The 23,892-nt window shown below is 56.1% G+C and overlaps 1 protein-coding gene across 3 annotated transcripts in view, besides 9 other annotated features; it reads left to right on the top strand.

Annotated features, from left to right (window-relative positions):
- NCOR2 (nuclear receptor corepressor 2) overlaps positions 1–23,892 on the top strand; it is a 243,198-nt gene that overhangs the window by 96,940 nt on the left and 122,366 nt on the right. For all 3 annotated transcript variants that reach the window (NM_001077261.4, NM_001206654.2, NM_006312.6), the window contains exons 7-9: positions 4,387–4,500; positions 13,511–13,567; positions 20,806–20,858. In NM_001077261.4, the coding sequence (NP_001070729.2) occupies positions 4,387–4,500; positions 13,511–13,567; positions 20,806–20,858 (224 nt within the window). The remainder of the gene's footprint in view (positions 1–4,386; positions 4,501–13,510; positions 13,568–20,805; positions 20,859–23,892) is intronic.
- Positions 4,180–4,389: a silencer, noted in NCBI's record as "silent region_5060". NCBI's record gives its function as "represses an Ori minimal core promoter by ATAC-STARR-seq in GM12878 lymphoblastoid cells {active_cell/tissue: GM12878}" and the evidence as "EXISTENCE:reporter gene assay evidence [ECO:0000049][PMID:35858748]".
- Positions 4,387–4,500: an enhancer, noted in NCBI's record as "conserved acetylation island sequence 32". NCBI's record gives its function as "activates a minimal heat-shock promoter by reporter assays in Jurkat T cells {active_cell/tissue: Jurkat}" and the evidence as "EXISTENCE:reporter gene assay evidence [ECO:0000049][PMID:17135569]".
- Positions 4,490–4,559: an enhancer, noted in NCBI's record as "active region_7287". NCBI's record gives its function as "activates an Ori minimal core promoter by ATAC-STARR-seq in GM12878 lymphoblastoid cells {active_cell/tissue: GM12878}" and the evidence as "EXISTENCE:reporter gene assay evidence [ECO:0000049][PMID:35858748]".
- Positions 6,941–7,508: an enhancer, noted in NCBI's record as "H3K4me1 hESC enhancer chr12:124947711-124948278 (GRCh37/hg19 assembly coordinates)". NCBI's record gives its function as "activates a minimal SCP1, AML or CMV promoter by ChIP-STARR-seq in naive H9 embryonic stem cells {active_cell/tissue: H9 hESC(naive)}" and the evidence as "EXISTENCE:reporter gene assay evidence [ECO:0000049][PMID:30033119]".
- Positions 7,509–8,075: an enhancer, noted in NCBI's record as "H3K4me1 hESC enhancer chr12:124947144-124947710 (GRCh37/hg19 assembly coordinates)". NCBI's record gives its function as "activates a minimal SCP1, AML or CMV promoter by ChIP-STARR-seq in primed H9 embryonic stem cells {active_cell/tissue: H9 hESC(primed)}" and the evidence as "EXISTENCE:reporter gene assay evidence [ECO:0000049][PMID:30033119]".
- Positions 13,587–13,646: a silencer, noted in NCBI's record as "silent region_5059". NCBI's record gives its function as "represses an Ori minimal core promoter by ATAC-STARR-seq in GM12878 lymphoblastoid cells {active_cell/tissue: GM12878}" and the evidence as "EXISTENCE:reporter gene assay evidence [ECO:0000049][PMID:35858748]".
- Positions 13,677–13,806: a silencer, noted in NCBI's record as "silent region_5058". NCBI's record gives its function as "represses an Ori minimal core promoter by ATAC-STARR-seq in GM12878 lymphoblastoid cells {active_cell/tissue: GM12878}" and the evidence as "EXISTENCE:reporter gene assay evidence [ECO:0000049][PMID:35858748]".
- Positions 16,873–17,711: an enhancer, noted in NCBI's record as "H3K27ac-H3K4me1 hESC enhancer chr12:124937508-124938346 (GRCh37/hg19 assembly coordinates)". NCBI's record gives its function as "activates a minimal SCP1, AML or CMV promoter by ChIP-STARR-seq in naive and primed H9 embryonic stem cells {active_cell/tissue: H9 hESC(naive and primed)}" and the evidence as "EXISTENCE:reporter gene assay evidence [ECO:0000049][PMID:30033119]".
- Positions 17,414–17,473: an enhancer, noted in NCBI's record as "active region_7286". NCBI's record gives its function as "activates an Ori minimal core promoter by ATAC-STARR-seq in GM12878 lymphoblastoid cells {active_cell/tissue: GM12878}" and the evidence as "EXISTENCE:reporter gene assay evidence [ECO:0000049][PMID:35858748]".

The following is a 23,892-nucleotide window of genomic DNA, read 5'->3' as shown; positions in this document are numbered from 1 at the left end:
CACTCCCCGTTCCCCTACTCTCTGTCTCTATGGACTGACCTGTTCTAGACATTTCCTATATAGGGCATCACACAGTATGCGTCCTTTCTGGCTTCTTCCACATAGTGTCATGGTTTTGGAGTTTATCATGTTGTCTCTTGTCTCCATCCTTCATTCCTTTTTATGGCTGAAACATATTCCGTTGTATGGAGATGCCTCCTTTTGTTTATTTCATCATCTGTGGCCATTTGGGCTGTGGCTGTTGTGAATAGTGCTGCTGTTGAACATTTGTGTTGAAGTTTTTGTTGGGACACCTGTTTTCAGTTCTCATGGGTGTATACCTAGGAGCAGAATTGCTGGGTCGTGTCGTACAGTAACTCTAGGTTTAATTTGCTGATGACTTTCCAGGCTGTTTTCCACATCAGCTGCCCCATTTTACATTCTTACCAGCAATGCATGAAGATTCCTGGTTTCCTGGTTTTCCACATCCTCACCGACCGCCCCCCAGCTTTTTTTTTTTTTTTTTCTGAGATGGATTCTCACTCTGTTGCCCAGGCTGGAGTGCAGTGGTGCCATCTTGGCTCACTGGAGCCTCTACCTCCTGGGCTCAAGCGATCCTTCTACCTCAGCCTTCTGAGTAGCTGGGAGTACAGGTGTGCATCACCACACCGAGCTAATTTTTGTGTTTTTTGTAGAGATGGGGTTTCACCATGTTGCCCAAGCTGGTCTCAAACTGCTGGTCTTGAGTGATCTGCCCACCTTGGCCTCTCAAAGTGCTGGGATTTCAGGTGTGAGCCACTGTCCCTAGCCACACCAACCCTTTTTTATCTTCCTTTAAAAAATGTTTTTGATTCCAGCCATCCTAGTGGTTGTACAGCGGTATCTCATTGTGGTTTTGATTTGCATTAGAGAGCCCTTTATAGCGTGTCACTGCTGTGCAGCAGTTTTTTCAGCATTATCTCCTTGATCTTCCAAACAACCTTATGAGGTAGGCATATACCCACAGGTTCTGCTGAAGTAGACACTGAGGTCAGGGAGGTGAAGGGCCCTGGCTGAGGCTGCAGAGCTGGTGAGCGGGGGGCTCAGGCTTGAATCCAGGCCCAGCAGAGCTAGTCACCCTCTTAGCTGGGTCTCTGTAGGTGTCCCAGGTAGTATTTTCTCTAGTACCTGAGGAAGGGCCACCTTCCCTGGCTGGAGGGAGCCTCCCTCCTGCCCACCCTTTCGGGGCTGTGGGCTTCTTCCCCTTCTTGGCTTTGTTTGTTCCGTGCTTTGGGGGAGCATTTTGATGCCCTTCTTGAAGCGACCACCAGGGGTCGCTGTGGGACTGAGGCAGTTCTGCTCAAACCGCCAGCGATGGAGTCTGTAAAAGCCAGCATCCTGGATTTTCTGGCTTTTCCTGTGTTCACTTCTTCTTGGGCACCTTTCTGGGTTCATACTGATCTGCTCTGTGGTAATGTGCAGGCTGTGCGAGCGTCATAAGTGGAGCAGAACCATGTTCTGATCTCACTTGTGATGCCCTGTCACATTGCAGAATGGGGCATTGGCCTTCCATCTGACCTTGGGCCAGTGCCCTAAACCCTCTGGTCTTCAGCCTCCCTCTTGCTATGAAGCAGACGGCAGCATGATGGGATGCTCTTTCCAACTGTGTTAGGAGGAGGGGGTTCATACATGGACAGATGAGGATGAGGATGATGGGGGTGATGAGGATGAGGGTGATGGGGGTGATGAGGATGAGGGTGATGGGGGTGATGAGGATGATGGGGGTGATGAGGATGAGGATGATGGGGTGATGAGGATGAGGATGATGGGGGTGATGAGTATGAGGATGATGGGGTGATGAGGATGAGGATGATGGGGTGATGAGGATGAGGATGATGGGGGTGATGAGGATGAGGATGATGAGGGTGATGAGGATGATGAGGGTGATGGGCGTGATGAGGATGAGGGTGATGAGGATGATGGGGGTGATGAGGATGAGGATGAGGGGGTGATGAGGATGAGGGGGGTGATGAGGATGAGGGGGGTGATAAGGATGAGGGTGATGAGGATGAGGGTGAAGAGGGTGATGAGGATGAGGGTGAAGAGGGTGATGAGGATGAGGGTGATGGGGGTGATGAGGATGAGGATGATGGGGGTGATGAGGATGAGGGTGATGGGGTGATGAGGATGAGGATGATGGGGGTGATGAGGATGAGGGTGATGGGGTGATGAGGATGAGGATGATGGGGGTGATGAGGATGAGGATGATGGGGGTGATGAGGATGAGGATGATGGGGTGATGAGGATGAGGATGATGAGGGTGATGAGGATGAGGATGATGGGGGTGATGAGGATGAGGATGATGGGGGTGAGGAGGATGAGGATGATGAGGGTGATGAGGATGATGAGGGTGATGGGCGTGATGAGGATGAGGGTGATGAGGATGATGGGGGTGATGAGGATGAGGATGAGGGGGGTGATGAGGATGAGGGGGGTGATGAGGATGAGGGGGGTGATAAGGATGAGGGTGATGAGGATGAGGGTGAAGAGGGTGATGAGGATGAGGGTGATGGTGATGAGGATGAGGATGAAGGGGTGATGAGGATGAGGGTGATGGGGGTGATAAGGATGAGGATGATGGGGGTGAGGAGGATGAGGATGATGAGGGTGATGAGGATGATGAGGGTGATGGGCGTGATGAGGATGAGGGTGATGAGGATGATGGGGTGATGAGGATGAGGATGAGGGGGTGATGAGGATGAGGGGGGTGATGAGGATGAGGGGGGTGATAAGGATGAGGGTGATGAGGATGAGGGTGAAGAGGGTGATGAGGATGAGGGTGATGGGGGTGATGAGGATGAGGATGAAGGGGTGATGAGGATGAGGGTGATGGGGGTGATAAGGATGAGGATGATGGGGGTGATGAGGATAAGGATGATGAGGGTGATGGGGGTGATGAAGATGAGGGTGATGGGGTGATGAGGATGAGGGTGATGAGGATGATGAGGGTGATAAGGATGATGGAGGTCATGAGGATGATAAGGGTGATGGGGTGATGAAGATAAGGATGATGGGGTGAAGATGATGAAGATGAGGGGGGTAATGAGGATGAAGATGAGGGGAGGGATGAGGATGACAGTGATGAGGATGAGGACGATGGGGGTGATGAGGATGAGGGTGATGGGGGTGATGAGGATGAGGATGATGGGGGTGATGAGGATGAGGGTGATGGGGGTGATGAGGATGAGGATGATGGGGTGATGAGGATGAGGATGATGGGGTGATGAGGATGAGGATGATGGGGGTGATGAGGATGAGGATGATGGGGGTGATGAGGATGAGGGTGATGGGGGTGATGAGAATGAGGATGATGGGGTGATGAGGATGAGGATGATGGGGGTGATGAGGATGAGGGTGATGAGGATGAGGGTGATGGGGTGATGAGGATGAGGATAATGGGGGTGATGGGGATGAAGATGAGGGGGGTGATGAGGATGACAGTGATGAGGATGAGGACGAGCAGGGTGATGAGGATGCAGGTGATGGGGTGATGAGGAAGAGGATGATGGGGGTGATGAGGATGAGGGTGATGGTGGTCATGAGGATGACGAGGATGATGAGGGTGATGAGGATGAAGATGATGGGGGTGATGAGGATGAGGATCATGGGGGTAGTGAGGATGAGGATGATGGGGGTAGTGAGGATGAGGATGATGGGGGTGATGAGGATGAGGATGATGGGGGTGATGAGGATGAGGATGATGGGGTTGATGAGGAGCACCTGTGTGTCAGGTGCTGCGTGCTTTGCACGCATCATGAGCTCATTTCACCTTCACAACGGCTCTCTAGAGTAGTAACTCTTTTATCCCCATTTTCCAGAAGAGGAAGGTAAGGCTTAGAGAGGTCCAGGAGCTTCTCAAGGCTACGCAGTAAGTAGGAGTGGGAGTTGGGCTCCAGTCTCACCAGTGCAGCTGTGGAGTCTGCACAGCCTCTCCTAGCACTGATGCTGCCTGTAGGAACCGTAATGGGTAATAATGCCGGCTCGCAGCAGGCCTGACTGTGCCTGCCTGTGTAACTCATTCAGTTCTCACCACAGTCAGAATGGCGGCACGGCAATCAGCCCCGTTTACTGATGGGGCAACTGAGGGCTAGCAGGGTGAGGCTGCTTGGCTGTGCTTCCCTGGCTGGCAAGTCACGAAGGCAGGATTTGAACCTGGCTTTGGAGCTTGGAGGCTGCAGCTGGCCCTGGAGCTGGGGCCTCTCCCGGGTGCGGAGTCCCTGGGGTGACTCACAGGAAATGTGTAGCAGCCTGACTTCCTGTGCGCGGCCGTGGCCCGGGCTGCAAGGGGGCCTCCCCGCGCCCTGGGGGCTGCAGCCCTCCTTCCGCCCGCTGGGGTGCTCATCCCTCACGTTCTGCCTCTCCCCACAGCAACAGCTGGAGGAGGAGGCTGCCAAGCCGCCCGAGCCTGAGAAGCCCGTGTCACCGCCGCCCATCGAGTCGAAGCACCGCAGCCTGGTGCAGATCATCTACGACGAGAACCGGGTATGTGTCCCCGCCCTGGCCTGCTGCCCCCCGGTGCTGGCCATGAGGCGCTTCACAGGGGGCACCATGAATCAGGCCTCAGTGTTTCCATCTATGTGGGGAGGGGACCTCGCCACCCTCTCCCCCAGAGACGCAGGGTTTATGAGTGGGTGGGGGAAGGTGACCGGTGGAAAGCCATCCTGGTGTGGCCTCTGGGCTGTTCTGCTCAGACACTCAGATGGGTGTGGACTGTGGCTGGTCAGCAGGATGCAACACAAAACAGAGGTTTTGGGCTCCAGGAGAGCACCAGGGTCCAGCTGATGGCCAAGGGTAAGGGGCTGCCACTTTAGGTGCTGGTGCAGAAGAAATCCCTTTAAGGCAAAAGATAATGACATTATGACCGCAGCAGTGAGGTTTCATGGAGCAGCCCCTCCTGTCAGTCCTGGAAGGGCAGGTACAGGTGTCATTTCCATTTTCCTAAGGCCCAGAGAGGTTAAGTGACTTGTCCAGAGTCACACAGCTAGGAAGCATTGGACCTGGATTTGAACCTGTGGGCTGTCAGACCACAGGGCCTGAGTTCTCAGCACTGGCTTCCACTGACACTGGGCCCTGGAAGGGGCCTTTGAGATGATTGAAACACAGAGTCTGGAGCAGGCTGTGGAGGCCCATGGAGATCCCACTGGGGGCAGCTATAGTGGGTCTGGTCTTGCTGGAGGGGCTTGGGATGCTCAGAGCAGTGTCTCCAGGGGCTGGACCCTAAGGGTCTGTGCACCCCCAAGGTGGAACCTTGTGTCTGGTGAGGTGGTAAGCTCCCCATCTTCCCAGTCAAGCCACTACCAGCTGGGCTTTAATGATTTACAGTGTACTTTTTCTAAATGTACTCAGGATCTGTGGATGTTGATCCCCTCCCTTATTTTCTGGATGAGGAAACTGAGGCCCAGAGAGGGACTGGTCCTTGTGAAGCATGACAGATGAGGAACCTCCTCTCCCTGCCTTGGCTTCTCTGGTTCCCCTCCTGCCTGTAGTCCCAGCCACCCTTCCCAGCTGCCTTTTCTGTAATATCTTCCTTGGCCAATCAGTGCTCAGAGTTGAGGTGGGGGTGGGGAGGCCTCGAGTCACGTGGTGGGTGCCTGCAGTGGCAGCCTGAGGCAGGGAACTACTGGATCAACCTGTTTGGCTATGCCTCCACCTCTAGAAACAGCGATGTCATGCAGAATGAGACAAGCCTGTTTGGGGCCTGGGAACTGTGTGCCCGGCTCACTCTCCCACACCCTGACCCCTCACCCCAAGCACCACTAGTAACAGTCATAGGAGAGCCAAGGGGCCACACATCCTTCAGCCAGCCATCCTGGGTTCAAATCCCATTTCTCCCACTTCCTGGCTCTGTGACCCTGGAGCGTTGTACTTAAACCTTCCTGTGCCTCATGCTCCACAGCTTTAAAACAATGACAACGACGGCATCACCTAGTACAGTTGGTGTGGGGACTAAAGGGGTAATTTCCTAGTGCCCTTAGGACAGACAGTGTCTGGCACCAAAGAAGTGCCAGCTGGTGCTATTAATTGTCATTATCATAGCTCTCATTTCTTCTTGTGTTTGTTTACCTTGTGCATTTAATAGAATACTATTTGCATTTAGTAGAACTACTGTTATTCTCTCAATTTTGCTCATCAAGAAACCAAAGCTCAGAGAGGGAAGGAGACCTCCCTGAGATTGCAGAGCAAGTGAGCTTTGAGCCTGGGACTTGGAGCCAAGATTGAGATGGCTCCAGGAGCCCAAAGTGGAGGGGACATGGGCAGGGCTCCTGAGAGTGTCACCTCTACCTGCCCTCTCTGATCCTCGGTGGAGAGCAGACACGGTTCTCTCCAGCAGCTGTGGAGGCCAGGTCAGTGGCCCAGCACATTGCTGCAGTGCCTTGGCCCTCTGCCTGGAGCTCCTCTCCTTGCAAGGCTCATACTGTCACTTCCCTCTTTGCTGAAGTGGCCCCTTCTCAGCAAGACCCGTTTCAACCCTCTACTTAATACTGAAAACCCTTTTTTCAGGAAAAGGAGTTTTCAGGATGACACCCGTTTTCCTCCTTTGTGGCTTCTGATTCTCCTTAGCCCTTGTCCCCATGGGACATGATTTCTGTTTTACTTATTTATTCTGTTTATTATGAATGGAAACTCCGTAAGGGCAGGGATTTTATTCCTGCCCACTTTTATTTCCAGTGGCATCTCCAGCACCTAAAACAGTGCTCACCACACGGCAGATGCACATTAAATAATTATTGTGCAAATATTCAGGCGGCAGGAAGGGAGGGGAGATGGAGGCGGGTGGCCAGCTCTGGCCTGTGGAAGAGGCCTCTGGTTTGGGGGCGTGGGGGCTGGTGGGGATCCTCCGCCCGGGCTGAGTCTCTGAGCCTCCAAAGCCTGCAGCCTAATGTGCGGGAGGCCCCCAGCCGCCTTTGGCAGGAGCAGCCAGGACTTACCGCCCCTTGGGGGATCAGTAGGATTAAATTTTAATCCGCCTTCCTTCCCTGCTGGTTCCTGGAGAGATGGAGGACAAGGGTCTGTTTTTCGAGCCAGCCGGAAAACGCAGCTTCCCTGCCGGGCAGGGCCCGCCTGGCAGTTCTGAGTGCTGGAGTCTGGCTCATTATCCATTCGGAGCACATTGGTGAGGCACCCGCTGAGCGAGGCTTTTCCCGCCTCCCCGCCTCCTGGGAGCTGCCTGCGTGGGTGGGGGCCGGGCAGGTGTGCACAGATGGCAGGGCAGCCATCAGGGTGGCTGCAGCCTGAGAGCAGGAGCAGACGGGGTGGCCTGGGCCCAGGAGGGCAGAAGCGTGACCTGGAAGTGGGTGCTGGGAAAGGCTTCTTGGAGGCAGCGGGTGGGCCGGAAGGAGGGCGTTAGGGTGAGGGGGCATGGCACAGGCCAAGTCCCAGAGAGGGGACTGGCGTCTCCTTTGATCTTCAAAGGTGGTGGGCACGAGGTAGGAGCCTGTTGGTTCCGGGACAAGGCACGCACTTGGAATCTGGATAAAACATACACAGAGGCAGCGCTAGCGATGTGTGGATACATAAGGGGCATTTGTGCAGCACAGGTTGCTGGTACCGTAGGAATTCAGGACACTGGGGAACAGTCAGGATGGGCTTCATAGAGGAGACGGGCCTTGAGCTAGGTCGACTGGGGAAAGGTAGAAGGCTGCTTCCAATAGAGATGTAGATGGCTCATTCACAAGGTGGAGAGGAGGCAGGATTGATGGAAGCGGCAACCCCAGTTGCTGAGTAATGCGGAAATCAGCAGAAGACTCAGGTCCTTGTCTTCCAGTTTAAGCGTCTTAAAAGGAAAGTGTTTATATGATGTGATTAGGACTCAGTGTGTGCACAGTGTGATCGGGACTGAGCAGGGCAAAGAAGAATAATACCATTAACAGTCACCGTGAACGTGAAGCATTCAGTAGAGCCTTTTGGGGGTTTTGGCACTCCTCATGCTTGTTTGTAGGGCCCAGCATCAGATCCCCTGATTGAAGATTTTCAGAGCAGTGCTTCAGACCCCGTCCTGTGGCCTCAGCATCCTGGGCCAGGCCCCCACCTCTGGCCTCCATGCCCGGCCACCTGGTCATCAAAACTGCCCCCAGGGTCCAGGGGTTCTTTCAGATTGTCCGTTTCAGCCCCGCGAGGCTGCTGCACGCGTCCTCTGACCTGCCGCTTTTCCTGCTCGTCACCCACCCTGGGAGAGCTCTGCACGGGGCTCATGGGCATGGGGCTCTGTTTGCAGATGAGGAAGCTGAAGCTCCGGGTAGGCCGTTGCCCTGAGGCACTGCTGCAGCCAGCGGAGGGGCTTGGGTGCAGGACTGGGGGCTTGGGGCTTCTTGGGTGAGTAGGTGCTGCCCCCAATCTGCAGATGAGGAAGCCAGTGTGGCAGAGAAGGGGCTAGGATGGGGCTTCCAGGCAGGGGAGAGGCTAGGGAGTGATGAGTGTCAGGTCTGTTTCTGTGCTCTAGAGGAGAGCCGCATGTGGATGTATGTGTGGTTTGTGTGCCTGTGGGTACACGTGTGTATACGGGTGGATGTATGTGTGGTATGTGTGTTAGATACACGTGTGCCTTTGGATGGCTGTGCATACTTGTATGTGAATACTTAGAGTAAGAGTCAGCTTGTGTGGGACGAGCATGTGGTGATTCGTGCATTGATACAGCACACTTGGGTGTGTGTATGCGGGCATGTGTGTATGTGTGGACCTCTGGATGGCTGTGTGCACATGTGTATAAGCGTATATGAGTCAGCATGTGGGGCCTGTGGTTATCTGTGCACTTACACATCCATGCATACACACGTGGGTGCGTGTATGTGTGCAGGTATACCTGTGGGTGCTGTGTGCACATGCGTGAACATTCATCCACGAATTGGCACATGTGAGGCATGTATATAGGTATTCGTGCATCTGTGCACCTGTGTGCATACGCATGTGTTCACATGGGTACACGTTAGGCTGTGTGCATGTGTGTACAGGTGGATGTGCGTGAGATGGCGGGTGTGGGGCGGGTGTGGTTACATCATGTGTTCACTTGGGTGCACATGTGTATGTGCGTGCGCCTTGATGTGTGTGGACATGTGTGTATGTCTTTGCGTGTTCCTAGATCTTGGCATGTGCACTTGGTAACGTGGGTCTGGTGCTCCCGTGGACCCGTCTGCATAGGTGACTAAGGACTTGTGTGCCCCAGCACAGCTCCTAGGCTTTTTGGGCATGGGAGGCCTGGCCACGCAGACCCAGAGTCTCTGCAGGGGTGCCACTGCTCGAATGAGAACGTGCCCGGATCTCAGTTGGCTGGCGAGAGCCCCTACAGGGGGTGGACGCCACGGTGAGCGGGGCCGCTCATTGGCTTGAGTCCCTAGGTTTTCCTTTCCTCTCAGAGCCAGGTGAGCTTGGGCAGTGGCTTCTCTCAGGCTTGGCCACCTCCCCTGCGGCGTCAGCCCCACCCACCACGATCAGAGCAGAGACCTCGGCCCCCAAAGGCCAGGAACGTGGGAGGACGTGCGTGGGGGCAGTCGGGTTTCAGCGGGATTGAGAAAGGCCTGTTTCCCTTCTCCCCCAGGTTGGGGCTGAGTCCCCTGAATTCCAGCCTCCCAGCCGGAAGGTGGCAGCCCAGCCTGAAGCCCTCCTTTGGGCCGGAGCAGTCCCTGAGTTTTGCCACCCTTGGGTGGAGTTAGTTCAGCTCTAACAAGTGTGTCCTGGCGTCCCCTGCAAGCTGGGCCTTGGGCCCGCATGGGGAAGATGCAGACAGGAGCTCCTGTTGGAGCACTTGCTGTTTGCCAGGACCAGGGGCAGCCAGGGAGACAGTGTCGGGAGGTGGCCCCCAAAGGGGCCGAGGAGATGTGGAGATATCAGCCACGGGAATATTGGGGTTGGGGAATGTTCTAGATGGGAGAGGTTCAGGTGGGAAGGGTTTGGGATTTTGCCTAGAACTGTGTGGATTGGTGACCTCCTATCCAAGTGTCCTCTCCGAGCCTCAGTTTCCCCATCTGTAAAATGGGGCAGCCCCTGCACCCCAGAAACAGGTTACTGGGAGGCTTGGCAATCCTGATTGTGGCTTGGAGAGCAGGGAGACAGGGCCTGCCCTCTCATCCACCTCTATGGAGGGGGCAGAGAGGACTCCGTGTCCTTGGAAAGGCCAGGCACATCCGGGATGTGGACTGCTTCCCCCATGGCCCTGGAGAAAGTGCCCACTGCCCTCAACCCTGTGCTGGGCCCTGCTGGACGATAGCAGCTTGGTGGCCAGCGCTGGCCTCTTCTGGTCCTGGTGGAGAGGCAGGGAGGCCCTGGGCCAGCTGCAGCGACGTGGAGAGAGGACAGGGTTCTGGGCTGGGACCGGACAGCCTGCAGGTACAAGAATGCTTTGCCCCAGAGACCGCCTGAGCGAGGGAGCCAGCCGCACTCCATTTCCAGGTATTTAGACCATTCCTGAGCATCCACTGTGAGCCAGACACTGTCCAGGCACTGTGGGTGCAGCAGAGAACAGAGCAGGCACCTTGCTCCTCATGGAGTCCTCATCAGGGGAGGTGGCCAGTAAGATAAACAGTGGGACGCAGACCCTTATCCCTGACCGCATGTGCTGTGAAGACAGCCAGGTGGGAAAACGAGTGGTCGAGGGAGGTGGACCGCCCTGCTGCGGGGGGTCAGGGAAGGCCTCTGTGGGGAGGGGAGGCTGAGTCAAGACATGAGCAAGAGGCAGGCGAGAGCATGTGAAGATGTGGGGAACAGCATTCCAGGCAGGGAACGGTAGGTGCAAAGGCTCAGAGGCAGTAGTGGCTTTCAGTGTGCAGGGGACAGTGAGGGGCCAGCAGAGGTCAAGGTCCTGTGAGGGCTGGGACCCTGTTGACCCTGGCGAGGAGTTTGGATTTGGTGCTCAGGGTGGCAGGAAGACAGCAGCCGAGGAGGTGAGGGGGAATTTTTGGCATGAGGCTGAATCTGTGGCCTGCGTCCACGTTCCCCAGCCATGCCACGTTCTAGAGGGTATCTCCTCTGCATTCAAAGAGGGAAGGGATGACATGCACTTCACTTTGCTCCCTGCAGAACGTCCTTGCAGAGGTCATGGGAGTTTGGTACCCTGGGTGAGTGTGGCCGTTTCGTGAATGGGGAGACTGAGGCCAGACTCAGTCAGGAGACTCAGATTGCTGAGGGTTAGAGCACAGCCGACTCCCAGATGTTGGGCAGGTGTGTTGAGAAAGGCCAGCCCATCTTGGGACAGGGCTCCACAGGCCCACCTCCCCAGGAGGCTGACAAGCAGGACCAGAGAAGACCGTGGAGCAGGAACAAACCCAACACTGGGAGCAGGGGATGTGGGGGCAGGAGGTGAAGGAAACACCCCAGAGAGACAGGAGGAGGTGGGGCTCCCTGTGGCTTTGGCAGGTGAAGAAGGGGTCTTCCTTGCTCTCTAGGTGCTAGCTGTGTGGCCGTGTAGTTTCTAGTGGCTTGGCCCTTTCCGTTGGTATCACTCTTTTATCTAGATGGACAGTTGCTGCTGATCCCCACAGATCATACACAAACTCCTATTCATCCCTCAAAACCCAGCCTATATAGCCCTCCTGTTACCTTTTTGGGAGAGTGACTTGTGCCCCACTTTCACACATACCTTTATCTGCCTGAGCATACTAATCTGCTGTTACTGCTCTTAACCAACAGCCATTGTTTGGGTTTATTCCAGGCAGGGGCCAGGTCTCATTCATTCCATGTCTCTCCCCAGGTCCCAGTGTTTGGGAGCTGCCCTGCCCCCATGCTACCCCATACCCAGTCCTTCACTGGGCCTGGCTTAGGGGTTCTCCCATCTTCAGTACCCCAGGGCAGACTCTTTCCTGCTTCGAGGGTGTGGCTGGGACATTGACTCTCCGGGTGATGTCTGCCCCCATCCACCGGAAATACTAGTCCCAAGCCTAGGGGTGGTCCTGCATGGGACCTGGCCCTTGGCTTCCTCTGTCCGTGGATCCTGGAGGTCATAAGAAGGGCTTCTTCCCTGTGTTTTGTTTCTGTGCCTCAGTTTCACCATCTGTGAGATGGGGCTACTCCTGCCTGTACCTCCCATGGCGCTTATGCGCAATTGACATGTTAAGAACACACCGTATGCCCGACGCTTGGCTCATGGCAGGTGCTTGGAGAAGTGACCATCGCTGTAATAGTTCTCCCCTGCTCTTCTGGCCCCCAGCCGCACCTTGAGGCTGCAGGTCTCGGGGTTTTGGCTCAGCCTGAAGGTGGCCAAGAGCATGGCTCTGCTCTTGGTGGGCCGGGCTCTGGGCTGTAGGCGGAGGCAGCTCTAGGTTCCAGCTTGAGCCCACCTACATACCTGCTGTCTTTCTCCGGGGGCTGGGGAGGGGGAGTGATGCTGGCCTGCCACGCCCTCCTCTCTCTGCTGCAGCCCGGGAGCCTGGGCACCTCCGCCCTGCGAGGAGATCTTGGCAAAGGCTGCGTCAAATTTTTGTTGGCAGCCACATTTCCCAGGGCTTGGGGTCACCTCCTTTTGGCCAATCTGGTTTGGGGTCACTGGGGACAGTTTCAGTATGGTGATGGTGACTTCTGCGGCCTGTCCGCCTAGTCCTTGCCAAATACTGAGTGGCTGCCCCAATGCAGCTGAGTCACAGCAGGGGCTCGCCCGCGTGCCAGCCTGTGAACACCCATTTGCCAGCACACACGCAGTTTAGCCTGGTGCAGGGGGCACCCAAACCCACGCAAATTCTGCCCCTGCCCTCCGCCACAGCCCCCATGAAGCCACCTTCAGGAGCCCCTCCGCCCCCCACCTCCCTGTACCCGGCTGGCCTGGGCTGCCCTCCAGGCCTCCTGTGAGTGGACCCTGGTGGTCCCAGGCTGCGGGCTGGTGGGCCTGGCCGAGGCACAATGTCTGCCTTCACACCGAGGGCCGGGGTGGGGGCCCGGAGGTCCAGCCTATTGATGGAGCGGCCACCGAGCCCTGCGCCACATGTTCCTGTTTTCCTAATAAGTCCCCAGTTGTGAGTGGGGAGGAGGCGGGGAGGCCCCGGGGCAGCCCAGAAATAATCACATGATTGTGAAACACAAGAATCCTAGAAAGGGTATCTCCGAGCGCCTCTATCTCACCCTCCCTCCTCCTCCTCCTCCTCCTTCCCTCGCTGGCTGCACTAGCTCTGAGGTAATTGTAGACAACCCAACCAGCTTCCAGGGTGAGGGAAGGCATCTCAGGGCTGGCAGTGTCGGCTGGGCTGGTGGGGAGCGGTGCCCACGTCGCTGGGCCCTGGGGGAGCGAGGCCTGCGCGCCTGCCGGGGAGCAGGCTTCAGTGGACCCGGCGCATTTGCTAAAATCGAAACTTGGCTGGCTTGCTGGGGCCGCTGTGGGGGTATTGAGGCTCCTCTGTGTTTTTTTCCAGCGTGGGGAGGGCCTGCAGGGGGCCCCGGGCCTCCCTCCCCCGTGCTGAGGATCAGCATGCTGGACTGGGCTGGGCAGGTGCCCGCTGCTCCGGGAAGCCTCTATTTATAATCTGTGTTTTTTTGTTTTTTAAAAAAATTCCTCCTCTTCGCCATCACCCTGCAGAAGAAGGCTGAAGCTGCACATCGGATTCTGGAAGGCCTGGGGCCCCAGGTGGAGCTGGTGAGCTGGGGTACAGGGTCAGGGGCTCAGGGGAGGGCGGGGGTGGCTGGAGAGGTGGGCAGGGAGGCGGGAGGGTGCGGCGGAGGAGGAAGTCATCTATTACCAAGCGCTGCCCAGGCGGCGTCCGCGGAGGAAGCAGGAAACCCACCTTCCTGATGAGAGGACGGCAGATAGCGGGTGGGCGGGCCTGGCTGGGCTGGGTGGGGGTGGGGAGTCTTGGCAGCGAGCGCCTCCGGGGCCACCTGCGCACTCCTGTGCATACCGTGAAGCCCGGCCGCTCGGGCTGTGAGGAGAGTCACACATCCGTAGGCCGGTGCGCTTGCTCCAGCTGAGCGCGGAGAGCCGGTTCTCTGGGTCACACAATCTCGGTCCACTCCCAGGTGCACCGCTTCATGGCGGTGTGACCCTGAGCGGGTCTGTTACCCTCCCTGTGCTTCAGTTTCCTCATCTGTAAAATGGGAATCCTAACAGCACCTATTCCACTGGATTACAGTGAGGAGGAGCTGTGTTAATATTTTTCCAACATCGGGTGCCGCGCCTGCCTTGTAAACAGTAAGTGCTGGGCATTAGCTATGATGATGATGATGATGATGATGGCGATGATGGCGATGATGGCTGTCACTAGTGTCCTTTTGCTGCGGAAAGATGCCATGTCAGCAGCAGAGCTGGAAAGCAGGCCCCAGGCCTCCTGGAGTCCCTGGGCTGAGGATGGGTGGATGCAGAAGCCCTAGCCCCCAGAGAATGGGCCGCAGCCCCTGCCTGCCCCACAGCCATCTGTGCCCACTGAGCTGGTCAGCATGGATGGCCGTGGTGGGCACTGAAGGTATATGCTACCCACATGTGTGCCGGATGAGGGAGAGTCTCTGTGTGCATGGTGGGCTAGGGTGTGCGTGTGAGTGCGCCCAGGGTGCAGATAAAGGCTTATGCCTTCGCCATGTGTAGTGGCTCATACCTGTAATCCCAGTGCTATGGGAGGCCAAGGCAGGAGGATTGCATGAAGCCAGGAATTTGAGATCAGCCTGGGCAAGATAGCAAGACCTTGTCTCTGCAAAAAATTAAAAAATTCACCAGGTGTGGTGATGCACGCCTTTCGTCCCAGCTACTTGGGAGGCTGAGGCAGGAGGATCGCTTGAGCCCTGGAGTTCAAGGCTGCGGTGAGCTATGATCACACCACTGCACTCCAGCCTGGGCAGTAGAGTGAGACCCTGCCTCATAAAAAAACGAAACAGAAGTCTGACACCTTCAGAGCCTCAATCTAAACTCAGCTCCACTGCATGTTTGCCAAGTGGCCTTAGGAAAGGGGCTGACCTCCCAGTACCACAGTGCTCTCTCATCTGGGACAGGCGGAGGCTCTAGGGCCTCCTTCCAGGGTCTTCCCAGGGTTAAAGGCAGTGCTGCCTGTTAAAGGCTCACCTAGTGCAGCTCCTGGTCCCTACGAAGCGCTCAGTAGTTGTGAACAATTTGGTGATGAGCTGCTCCCCCTGAAGTTTCTGCAGGCTGCTCAGTTTTGCAGTGAGAGCTCCCCAAAGCCCGGGGTCCGTCTTTTGAGGCCACTCAGGAACTACAAGCCCCGGGCTCCCAGGCCCACTCAGAAGGCAGAAGCAGGGAGGAGATGGCAAGGGCTCCTCCAGCTCAGAAGCAGGGCCCAGCTGCCCACCTGGCTGGACTCAGGAACCTCGCTGGGCTCCCCCACCCCTTCAGGGCTCTGCCCCCTCCAGGCACATCCTCGGGCCTGGGCGATCTGGGTGGTGAGCTCTGGCCTAGGGTCGTGCTTCTCTCAGTGGAAGTGATATCTGGGGAAGTTTTCAGCAGCAGCAGCTGCTGCTTGCTTGTTTTTTTGTTTTGTAAACAGCTTTATTGAGGTACAATTCACACGCATGCCATTCACTCAAAGTGTCCAGTTCAGTGGGTTTTAGTGTATTCACAGATGTGTGCAACTGTCACCACGGTCAATTTTAGAACATTCCATCATCTCAAAAAGAAACCCTTCTGTCTCTATGGATTTGCCTATTCTGGACATTTCCTATAAATGGAATCTTGCAATATGTGGTCCTTTGTGTCTGGTTTCTCTCACTCAGCATCATGTTTTCGAGGTTCATCCGTGTCGAGCGTGGGTCGGTCCTTCGTTCCTTTTTGTGGCTGAATCATATTTCACTGTAGGGGTAGGTCACGTGTTGTTTACCCACTCATCAGTCGGTGGACGTGAGATTGTTTGCATATTTGGGGTATTGTGAATAAAGTTGCTGTGAACATTAGTGTGCCGTTTCCATGTGAACGTACGTCTTCATTTCTCCTGGGTGTGTACCTAGGCGTGGAATTGCTAGATCCTCTGTTAACCCTGTTTAGCCCCTTGAGGAACTGCCCAACTGTTTTCCAAAGTGGCCGAAAAGTGGCCGTACCATTTTACATCTCCACCAGTAAGCTGCCTCTTGCCTCGGTTTCTCCTTTTCTGCCAAATAGGGATGGCAGGGTTGGATGAAGTTCCCAAGCATTTCCAGATTTCCGGGTCCTCCCGCTCCCGTTTCCTGATTGGTCCCCGGGGGCCTCCTGGGGGAAAGGGCCTGTGTCTTAGGGCCCGAGGAACACAGGCGAGGAAGCCCCTGTCCGTGGGAGTCTGTGGGCAGATGGGGGTGGGCAGCTGCTGGTGTCAGAAGCTTTGGAACCAGGGACCCCACAGTGAGTCTTCTCTGGTTCTTTGGAGACAAGGGGACGGGGTTGTCTTCCACTTGGGGATCTCAGAGCAGAGGCTTCCACAAGGCTGATGGCACAGGAGGCTAAGATCTAGTGTTTGGACTCTTGAAGGCCCCTGGCTTGGTGCCAGTCAGTGGGGACAGGGAGGACGCCTCACAGAGCTGTTGCCGTCCCATTTTCTGGATGAGGCTCAGTGAGAGGAGTGCCTTGTGCCGGGCCACACAGCAAGAGATGAGGCGTGGAGGTGTGCTGAGCCCCTGGGAGAGCGGCCGGCCAGTTCTGCACAGATCTGCCAGGCCCGAGTGGCCACAGGCATCCTCCAAGCAGAGGCAGCTGCATGGTGCACCCTCTGCAGGGTCCTGTCTACCAACTGGGTGCCAGAAGCCCGGGCCAGGGACGGCCTGAGGTGCTGTGGGTCACAGAGTCCAGTTCCCAGGGTGTCTTCCATCAGAAGCTGCAGTTCCAACGCCCCTCCCCTCGGCAGGGACGGATCCCTGTGGCCTTCCTGGAGGAATTTGCATTGGAAAGGATGAAAATAGCACCAGAGGTGCTAACCAGGGGTCGGGGGCACTGAGATGGTGGGGCACGGCCCCTCCAGCCCAGCTGTGGGGACTGGACCAGGCTGGGAGCGGGCGCAGTGGTGGAGGGCGTGCCCAGCAGCCCCGACCTCTCTGCCGCTTTGAGTCATTGCTTCCTTCCTGTTCCAAGGCGTTATTTTAAGAAGCTGGTGTCACCAGCGGGTTGAGGGCTGGGGCTGTCACTTCATTTATTGCCAGCTCAGGCCGCCTGGGACTCTGGCTCTTCCTGGTGGCCCTGCTGGCTGGCTCAAAGCCCGAGGGGGGCCGCCTCCTCCCTGGCCCCTGCTGGCTTTCTTAGTCACCACCATGCCTCATCTCTGCCTGCGCCCTGCGTCTGGCACCTGCTCCCCTTTGCCCTCTTTCTGCCCTCTGAGTGGCTGTGCCTCTGATTTTAGAGGAGACGGAGGCTGAGCAAGAGAGAGCTGGACCTTGGGGCCTCCTGGGTGCCGCCCCTACCACCCCAGGCTCCACACGCATCTAGGCCTCGATTCCCTCACTGGCGTGAGTCCCCCCAGGGGTCATTTCTCCCGGGAGGATAAGGCCTGGGGGTGAGGGACAGGGGCCAGCCATGCCCCCCAGCCTGTGTGGCTGTGGAGGTGCCTCATGGCCCCATGTGGGGACCCCGGCTAGCCTGGGCTGGGAGCCGCCAGGCCTTTGTGCAGCCCTCTCTGCAGAGGATGAGGGGGATGTTGGGGAGTCCCCTCGGGCCCTGCGTCCCCTCAGCAATGCACCTGCCAGGACATGTCACTGTCCCTCCCTCCCCCCACTCCCTTCTGGGCTTTCCAAGATGGCTGTCCTCAGCCTGTTGCCATGGCGGTGCACGGCATTCCAGGCAGCTCTGGGCCCAGAGCCTCCCCTGGGCTCCTGGGGTTCAGGGGCCTCGGGGAGTGGCTGGTGAGTGCCTCCCAGGGGGGCAGTTCCTGTTTAGAGGCCGCAGCACCCCACAGTATCCTCAGTCCTTCGGGGCCTTCGCCTTGTGGGCCCCTCACCGATGGCCGCCTTGAGAAGCAGGGGCTGTGTCCCTATCTACAGGGCAGGGGAGGAGGCCACCAAGTGGAAGTGGCCTTCCTCCCCTGTGGCTTTGGTGGGTTGGAGGCTGACCGGGCTCTTGCTGCCCCCGGGAGCCGGTCCTGCATTTCTGCACCCGCCCTGTGCCGCAGAAGCACTGTCCCCTCTGCCCACCTCGCCCTCCCAGGGCTGCGTGCTGTGGGCTTCCAGCCCCTTTCTGGCCCCCTTCGGCTGTTTGCTATCTTTAAAACCAAAACAAGACAAACACCAAATTTCACCAAGTCTGAAATTTTCTGGGCTATCCAAAATTTCCGTGAAGTAGGTCCTCTTTGACCTACACCCATATTCCAGATGAGGAAACCGAGGCTGGAGTGTTGAGGGCACTTGTCCAAGCTCACAGCTAGTGAGGGAGGAGGCACCATTTAAATTGGGGCCTATCTGTTTCCAAAACCCGAACCTTTAAGTGATGTCCGCTTGCACCTGGCCTGCATTTGATTGGCATGTGGGGAACATAAAGGAGCCAGTGTGGTTGCCCGGGTTACAGCATGGGCATCTTCACAGGGCCCCTTGCCATTCCTGAGACGAGGATTCGCACCCTCTGCAGGGATGCTGCACTGCACCCCTTCCCTCCACTGGGAAGTTCTGCAGTGAGTCTGACCGTGGGCTCTCTTGTTCCTCTGCCCACTTCTCCCTCTTGTTCAAACTTCCAGGGTCAGGGTGGGGAAACTGCCCTCTGTTCAGGGCTGAGAACCTTGGGAGGGGAGCCTGACCCGGCACGGGGAGAAATGGCCCATGGCAGCTGCAGGATGACATCTCTGTCCCCAGGAGAGTAGCTGAGCAGGAGCCTGGAATTGCCCGAGCCCAGTGGTGAATTCTCTAGGAGGGGATCTGGGGCTACAGGGGGAAAGGCGACATTGTCACCAGCCGAGACTGTCTGTGAGGCTCTGTAGAGCTGCAGAGGCCCTTCCCTGGGGATGGGTGGGCGGGGGTCTGGGTGGCCCACTCTGCCGGCGTCATCAGGAGGTGTGTTCAGCTCTATCCCCAGGGAAGAGACTTGTGTGTCCCTTCTGTCGCTGCAGCCCTGCCCTGAGGCTGCAGGACTCCACGTCTCCATCCTTCCCTGTTCCATCTGATCACTCACACTCTGTACCTGATCTTCCCACCATAGTCACCCATGGCCACCCTGGGAGGCTCCTGCTGTGTGCATGGGTGTGTGAGAGGGAGAGGGACAGGAAGAGAGGGAGACAGACAGACAGAAAGACATACACACACACACACAGAGACTCAGGCAGAGAGGGGAGCAGACTCCTTCCTCCAGCGCTGGGGCTGAGAGGCGGGCTGTCATTCAGGCTCATCTCTTACCAGCTGTGGGCAAATGTTGTAACCTCTTAAGGACTCAATTTTTCTTTCTGTACAGTGGGGGATGATTGTATCAGTTACCCGGTATGGTTACATGGCTACTGCTGGGGAACAAAGCAGCCCCACATTTAGAGGCTTGAAGCAGCAACTGTTCACTGTTTCTCACCTGTCTGGAAGGCAGCTGAGCATTTCTGCTGGTGTGGGCTCAGCTCTTGCACCTCCGTGGCCAGCGAGGGAGTCGGGGGGCCGGCGTTGTAGATCAGCCCAGGCTGGGTTGCACCACGCTGCTCCTTGCCTCTCTGCCCGCTTCCTGCAGGCCAGGCTAGGCTCATTCTCTTGACAGAAACAGCAGAAATGCGAACTCGCATCTTCAAGCCTCTGCTTTTGCTAAGTGTGCAGCAATTCCACTGGCCACAGCAAGGTCATGGGTGGTTACAGGGAGGCGTGAAAGGTGGGTGCCATTAGCACAGCCACTGCTCCCTGATGGCGGCAATGTGACTGGCACCTCTGGGCACTTCAGCCTGCAGGTACCAGCCTGAGAGCTTAGCATGCACTGTCTCGTTTGATCTTCACAAAATCCTATGAGTTTAACCCCATTTTATAGATGAGGAGAAATGGAGGCACAGATGGAATAAGTAACTTCCCAGGGAGACCCAGCTAGAAAGTATCAGAACCGGGACTTGAACCTAGGCTGTGCCCTTGGTTGCTAAGCAAGGTTCTTCCATCTGGGAGGGGACACGTGGCAGCTGGCTTGGTCCCTGCACCATCACAGATGCTGCCGTGCTTTCTGCGTCTCCTGGTACGCTCTTTGAAGCCCTGTGCTTGCTACATGTGGGCCCTGCCTCCCTTTCTCACTGCTGTGTGGGATTTGTGGTGTAACCGAGTCCTGGTCTCCTTAGCTGCTCTTCTGGTGGTGGACGGCTAGCTTGCTTCTCACTGGCCGCTGTGAGCAGTGCGTTAGGAACATCCTAGCGCCCGTCTCCTGGTGGAGCACAGTAGGCAACTGCAGGAGCATGGGGGTCGGAAGCGGGGGCGTCGGTGTTCGTTACCAGGTAGTGGCTGTTGTCTCTCTGGGGGATGTGTGCCCATACACCATGCTCCCACCAGCTATGTGCCAGCCTTCCTGTCACCCCAGACCTCACCAACACTTGGCATTCAACGTTTTTGTCTTTTGCTGGTCAGTGGGGGTGGAGTGGTATCTTGCAGCGTTGGGACGCGCGTTTCCATGGTGAGCTAGGAAGCCAAGTGGCTTTCCACGTTTGGTGGCCAGGGCCAATCTCTGGGGTGTGTGTGGGTTTGTCCGGGTGTGCTCTGGGCTGTGGCCCCTTCCAGGCCAGCACTGCTGAATGCCCCGCAGAGCAGCCATGACGACCTTGGTGGGGGTGGTCACAGTACCCACAGCTGTTCCCGAGGAACCAGTTTCAGCCTGTTCCTGGCTGGGGCTGCGTGCTGGGTCCCTGTGTTCTGTTTCATGCCTGCCTGCGGCTGAGCCCTCACCCAGAGGACAGCTCCTCCGTGCCAGGGCTGTGGCTCCTACCGGTGGGCTCTGTAGTGGCGAGTGGCCAGCCAGGCTCTGATGTGCTTCTCTCTCTCCCTTTGCAGCCGCTGTACAACCAGCCCTCCGACACCCGGCAGTATCATGAGAACATCAAAATGTGAGTGCTCGCGGGCAGCCGTGCAGACACACAGAGGCAGGGTGGGCGAGCAGGCTCTCAGCAGCCTGCATGGGATGTGGGACGTGGGCTCTCTGTTCCCATCAGGGGCTCCCGGCCAGGGCCAGGTGCTCCCGGAGGGGACAGGAGACAGTCCTAGGTGGCACCTGGGGTGGGGGTGGGGAGCAGAGAGAGTGTCCCCCTGAGGTTTTGGGAGACAGGCTGGGTTTGGGAGGGTGGGCGAGGGAGCTGCTGGTGCACAGGTGGGTCTGGAGAGACGGAGGTCAGAGGTCCCAGGCTGTACATCTGCATCCTGTTCGAGCAGGAGGGAGCTGTTGCGGGCAGAAGGCAGCCGGCTCAGGGAGATGGGGAGTGGCCCCAGAGCAGGCGGGGGCCTGGTGTTTTGGGCTCTGGCATAAGCATGTTTGGGAATCACCTGGTGTCTGCACAGAGAGGTCCCTCTGGCACAGCCCACTATGGGGCAGATCAGAGCACTCATCCAGGCCCTGAGGCTTTGGAGGTGGCCAATGTGATGTATTCTAATGATGGGGGCCTTTTCCCAGACCGGTGCTAGGAGGGAAGAAAATGTCAATTAAGTGCCACTGCCATTGGGTGAGGCGGTGCTGGAGGCTGGTAGCATTGTATCTTCAAGCGGGGTACAAGGCATTGGAGGTGTGGCAGCTGGAAGGGGGCTGGCTTTTTCTTGGGATGCATTAACGGGAGCATAGACTGTTGGGCCGAGGAGGGCATGTTATCTCATGTTAGTGCCCAGGAACCCAAAAGGTAAAAGGGGCTGCAGATCTTGCCCCTTGAGGAACATATGGCCACGTGGTGGGCTGGTAGGTTGGAGGTGAGACTCTTCAGGATCATAGCTGTTGAATGTTCAAGGTTCGTCATGGTGAGAGGGTACAGGCGTTTGAGTGTGGCTGCAAAGGGAGGCGTTTAGCTGATTCGGTGGGTAGTTCAGCCCGGTCCGATTGTTCAAGCGTTCCTGGGATGGAACTACAGAGTGTATATGCGGTGGTGAGCTCCCCGTTCCTGAAAGCGTGCAAACCTTCCAGTGTTTTCACACATCTGCTGGTGCTGGACTAGTCGACGGGGAGATCGCTGCTGTTGTAGTTTCCAGAGTTGCGCGACTGGTCCAAGCTCAGGTGATCAACTTGGCCACCTGGTCATTGTTGCAGCAGCCTAGAAAATCTCTCCTTGCTAGTTGAGGCCCTTGGCCTTCTCGGGTTCAGGAGCACCTGACAAAGATACTTCACCAGCGTGGCTGGCGGGGGGGTCATCCTCAGCCAGTGGCCAGCAGGGGCTGCAGAGTGTGTCAGGAAGGGGCATGTGTTCTGCGCCAGGGGTCCCGGGCTGGTACAGAAGGCCCATGTCAGATGCAGCCTGGGCTCCTCATCGGCCTGGCGGGCTCATTCATTGCCCAGGTCCCAGATCCCTTTTGACTCGACATAGTTTGTCTTCCAATTGGGCTACCCCTGTCCCTTCTGCAGCTTCCTGGGACCTGCCTTGCTCTGGGGCCCCTGTCTGGGGTGGGAAGCCACAGATGGAGGGGTGCTGAAAGCAAGGGGGACATTCTTAGGACCTCATCACAGGTGGTTTAGGGGATGAGGGTGGGGTGTTCTCAACTGAGTCCAGGCTGTTTGGGGCATTCCCTCATTCATTCATCCCATCTTTATTGAGAGCCTGCTGTGTGTCAGGTCCCGTTCTAGGCCTTGGCTATTCAGCCTTGGATAAAACAAAGGCCTCATCCCTCATCAAGATTTGTCTAGCAGTGGAGACAGAACCAGAATGAGTTAAGTAAACAAAACAAGAGAATGTCAGCTAATACAGCCGGGTGCAGTGGCTCATGCCTATAATCCGAGCACTTTGGGAGGCTGAGGTGGGAGGATTGCCTGGGGCCAGGAGTTCAAGACCAGCCTGGCCAAACATAGCAAAAATTGACAAGAAATTAGCTGGGTGTGGTGGCACGTGCCTGTGGTCCCAGGTACTCAGGAGGCGAAGGAGGGAGAATCGCTTGAGCCCAGGAGTTCAGGGCTGCAGTGAGCCGTGATTGCACCACTGTACTCCAGCCTGGGTGACAGAGCAAAACCCTGTTTCTGTTAAAAAAAAAAAAGAAAGAAAGAAAAAAGAAAGAAAATACCAGCGAATCTAAAGTACTATGCTGACATAACTATCTTAAGCTCTTTACGCCTTCATATACCTAGTTATGATTTTTCTTTTTGACATAATAATTTTTGATAGCCATATTATTATACTGACAATTTTACATAGGTTTTTTTCACTTAAAGTGAGTGATATTTTAAGCTGAATACTGTGGTTGATTTCAGGTAATAAAGACAGCCATAGAATCTAAACAAAAGAGGAGCAAGATGCTCATATAGATGACACCAGCAAATAGATATTGCTTCATCTTTGTGTAAGTAGAATAAAACTGTAAGCATATTAAAGCCAGTGCTGTATTTGACATCTCATAATCTTCCTCAGAGAATGACTGTGGTCCGTTGAAGTGCATTTTGACTAAATAGGTAACCGCCTCACTGAATTTGTTCCAAATCTAAATCACAAACAAACATGTTTCTATTTAAAACAACTAGATGTGCTGGGCGCGGTGGCTCACGCCTGTAATCCCCGCGCTTTGGAAGGCCGAGGCGGGCAGATAACTTGAGGTCAGGAGTTCGAGACCAGCCTGGCCGACATGGTGAAACCCCATCTCTACTAAAAATACAAAAATTAGCCGGCTGTGGTGGCGTGTACCTGTAGTCCCAGCTACTCAGGAGGTTGAGGCAGGAGAATTGCTTGAACCTGGAAGATGGAGGTTGCAGTGTGCCGAGATCACGCCACTGCACTCCAGCCTGGGCAACAGAGCAAGACTCTGTCTCAAAAAATATGTGTAATATAGTATAATATAAAACAAATAGATGAATAATTAAGATTTCCTACACTGTAAGTAGTCAACTTCTGTTAGAAAAACCTTTGTGTGTAAATTGTTGGAACTGATTTGTCCTAATAATTTTAGTTTTTTGGATATTTT

The sequence above is a fragment of the Homo sapiens genome, chromosome 12, assembly GCF_000001405.40.
Source record: "Homo sapiens chromosome 12, GRCh38.p14 Primary Assembly".
NCBI classification, from domain to species: Eukaryota; Metazoa; Chordata; class Mammalia; order Primates; family Hominidae; genus Homo; species Homo sapiens.
This window is presented reverse-complemented; position numbering and strand designations above follow the sequence as displayed.